At 39.6% G+C, this 3,687-nt stretch overlaps 1 annotated feature.

Annotated features, from left to right (window-relative positions):
• Positions 823-1,117: an enhancer, noted in NCBI's record as "tiled region #15011; K562 Activating non-DNase unmatched - State 10:DNaseD". NCBI's record gives its function as "activates a minimal TATA promoter and a strong SV40 promoter by Sharpr-MPRA in K562 cells {active_cell/tissue: K562}" and the evidence as "EXISTENCE:reporter gene assay evidence [ECO:0000049][PMID:27701403]".

Consider the following 3,687-nt stretch of genomic DNA (forward strand, 5'->3'; position numbering starts at 1 on the left):
ATTATGTTCCAGGCCCCCTGCAAAGCACTGTATATCAGCTCACTTAATTTCCACACAAGCTTCTCTTACAGGGATACCATGACCCCCATTACATAGATGGAGCAGCTGAGGCTTCCACGTTTTTAAGTAACTTGCCCCAGCTCTCCTGTGATAAGAGACAGGCAGGATTCATTCCAGGTCTGCCTGACTCCCACATTCCCAAGGTCGATCTGCAGGAAGGCCATGGGCCTGGAGATGGGGTAGTGGATGAGGGAAGTGGGTGGGGAATGGGATTCTCTACTGCGTGTTCTCTCTTCCCCAGAGGGAAAGCACAATTTGTCCTGTATTTTAATCCATTTCCTTATTTATTGGGTCCTTGGAAATTCTTAGGGTAAATTTCCATAAGAAAAAAAAGTTTTTTGTGCAGCCTCATTCTATTACTTAAACACAATCATTCTCTTCTTAGTCTCAGGTTCTCTACCAGTAAATCAGTACATTCTGACTCACAGAATAGACCTCTACGTAGCAAGCATCGAGCACTTAATAAACGCCTCTTACTGTCAGCACTAAATATCACATTTTAGTAATTGGCAACATTCTAAAGTTCTAAAGTTAAAGTTATAAAATAAAAAGAGTTTAGATGGAAAAAAAGGAAAATGTGAAATACTAACAAACCTATGTCCTTTCATTATTTAAAAAATGAAACTCATTTGAAATTGCTCTATGTGCAGTTAAATACTTCAGTCATTATTTGACTCGAGTGTTTTTTTGGAGAAGAGACGTATTTCTGGACTTGGGCTATCTGTACAATAAAAGCCAAGGATGCAGTACTTTGTTTTCTAATAAAAAGAAGAAGAAAAGCAAGTGGCTTGGTTTTTTGATGATGCCCAGGATCCCTATGAACAGAGACATGAGGCGAGCATGGCTCTGTGAGTAACAGAAGCCTGTTCATTACTGGGCTGAGCTGTGGCTCGCCAGCCAACACTCAGCACTGGGTAATGAAGGAAATTGCTGTGTGGGCGGGCAGGCAGTAAAACGTGTCTGCGGGAAAGGCTGTGACTAAGTCTCCCCTAATCAGTGTATCATCAGTGGAGCTGGGGCGGGAACTGTATCGGTGAGGGGCCTTCCATGGTCACGCTCCTGTTCCCGGTCCCACGTGAAAGCTCTGCCCCAGGACTCTGATTGCTCCAATCCTAGGGGATGGGGGTTGTGTTTTGGGACATTTAAACTTAGTTTGCTTAAAACTCAAAGTATGAAATAAATATACATGAATCCACACTGATATAAATAAAGATTGAATAAACAAATGAGTGGGGGAGAAGAGACAACCCTTCCTTATAGAAAAATTCCTAATACTTCCTTCTTCAGGAGACAGAGTTTAATTTGTTCCACCCTTACCCCTTTGGGGATGGGCTAGACCTAGAGATTGTCCAAATAATAGAGTAGGGAAGAGCAAAATGGTAACTTTGCAGTGGAGAGATGTGGCAGACATCACCTTAACCAAGAGATGGAGGTCAGCGTCACCAAGGATGTTGCATGGGTCTCATGTACCCCCTGATACTATGTAATGAGAAGAGTCTTCACCTCTGTAGTACTCTTTCCAAAAATTCCCAACCCCAGTCTAATCTTGAGGAAAACATCAGACAAACCCAGATTTTCTGGATTCCTAGTCAGTATGCCTTAACACTGTTAAGGTCAGGAAAGACAAGATAGAAAATCTGTCACAGACCAGAGGAGACTAAGGAGACATGATGACTGGATGAAATGTGGTGTCCGGAACTGGATCCTGGAAAAGGAGGAGGCCATTCCTCAAAAACCTGGTAAAACCAAATAAAATGAGTCCTAACTGTAAATGCTGCAACAACTCTCAGGCAGGGCTTGCATTTCATGACATCCAAGTCAGAGGCATTGCCAGGTAGAGGATGTGTTGGTAATAAGCATATTGGTATTGCAGGAGGTGGGAAAACCAGATTGAGACATGAAATAATTGGGCACTTTCTTATCATGGAGCCCTCTTACAAAATGGAAATGTCTATCTTCATTTTCCTTCATGCATTGCAACAGTGAGTTATACATTTTTCATGAGAATTGAATGACTATACAGAAAAATATCTTCCTAGGGTGCAAATGGAAGAGTGGGATTTAAATTGCATTATGAGTTTCTCTATAGGAAATCCCTCTAAAACAGAAAGTCAGGTTCATAATCCTATGATACGGATACATACTTGGAAAGATGAGCATTCTTTATTTTACTTTGCCATGAAAAAGCAACTCAAAACTTTGGAAACTTTCTGCATTCACCAGATAACTCCTTTTCAAAATCTTATTGAGTTTTATACCTCTGTACTATCCTTTTTTGTGATCAATGGGTTGGTCTCCTCTGATAAGCTGTAGGATAAAAATATGCCAGTGTATTATAGTGAGGGAAAATTAAAGTGCAATTTTCATTTCCTGGAAAAAAAAAAAAGCCCACACAGTTTTAAAGCTCCAGTGAGGGACCTGCATCAGGAAGCCTTCATTCCAGACACTTCTATTTCAGAGCTGTGGACTCTGGAGCTGGACAAAACTAGGAAATGGAGAGTGTGATCACTTGATCTTCTAATCTGCCATTTCCCCTAAGGCACAATTACTGCATCTGTATTGGAAAATCATTGTGTTTGCTTTGTTGGACCCTGGTTGTCAGAAGTCTTTAATGCAATTAGCCTACTCAGTGCACATGGGGCTGGACTAATGTGCATACGAGGTAGGTGAAGAAGCTAAATTCTCAGAAGTCTTAAATATCAGATGGGCATTGTAGCGTGAGTTTCTTGTAGCATCGTCTCCATTAGAAGGGTTAGGAAATCCAGTGGAAAAAGTTCCTCTTACATACTCCTGCCCCAGAACCTTTAGCCCACGAAGTGAACTGTGAACCCATAGATGATCCTGATGCAGGGTCCCCTCAGCTACTGTACTCTTTCTGAAGCTGGGATAAAGGGACAGTTAGAGGACTGTTCAGATAGGAGAGCCTAATCAGAATTTTCTGACATCATGAAGCCCATCAACGTTGTACATATAGGAAATAAGTCTCATATTCAGCTTTTTGAAAATTTTATATAATCAAAGTCTCTCTCCACAGTGTAACAGATTTACAATTCCCTCTTCTACTTCCTACCTCACCACTAACACTCCATGTCATACAACTGGGAATAGAGGCAATTAACAGAAAAATAAAAGGAGAAGACATTTTCAGCATTTATCTTGGTGTTTAATCTAGTGATTATATCTTCCACTGGGAACACTGAATATGTGATAATATGCATATGCATATACTTATTATTTCTTTTCTCAGCATCGATGATTTTGTGAATCCCCTGTGTGTGAAAGTTTGTGTAAATAAAAGTGTTTCTGCACAGAAGGTCCATCTCATTCATCAGATTTTTAAAAAGGGTTTTTTTTTAACCAAAGTTCAAGAATCATTACTATAAGCCACACCTATAGTATTATTTTGTTTTGTGTTTATGTAATATATGTCACACACACATACATATACATATCTATGTATGACATATTAGCATATATTTGTTTTAAGTTAATTGTTAAAACTATATTTATTATTCAATATTGGGTTAGGGCTCAGATAGTCTCTTTTTTTCCTCTGAGATTTTAGATTTAAAGAATCACTTCAGATATATCTAGGAAGCCATTTCCATACCCATTCCTTCAAGAGAT

This window comes from Homo sapiens, chromosome 8, assembly GCF_000001405.40.
Source record: "Homo sapiens chromosome 8, GRCh38.p14 Primary Assembly".
NCBI classification, from domain to species: Eukaryota; Metazoa; Chordata; class Mammalia; order Primates; family Hominidae; genus Homo; species Homo sapiens.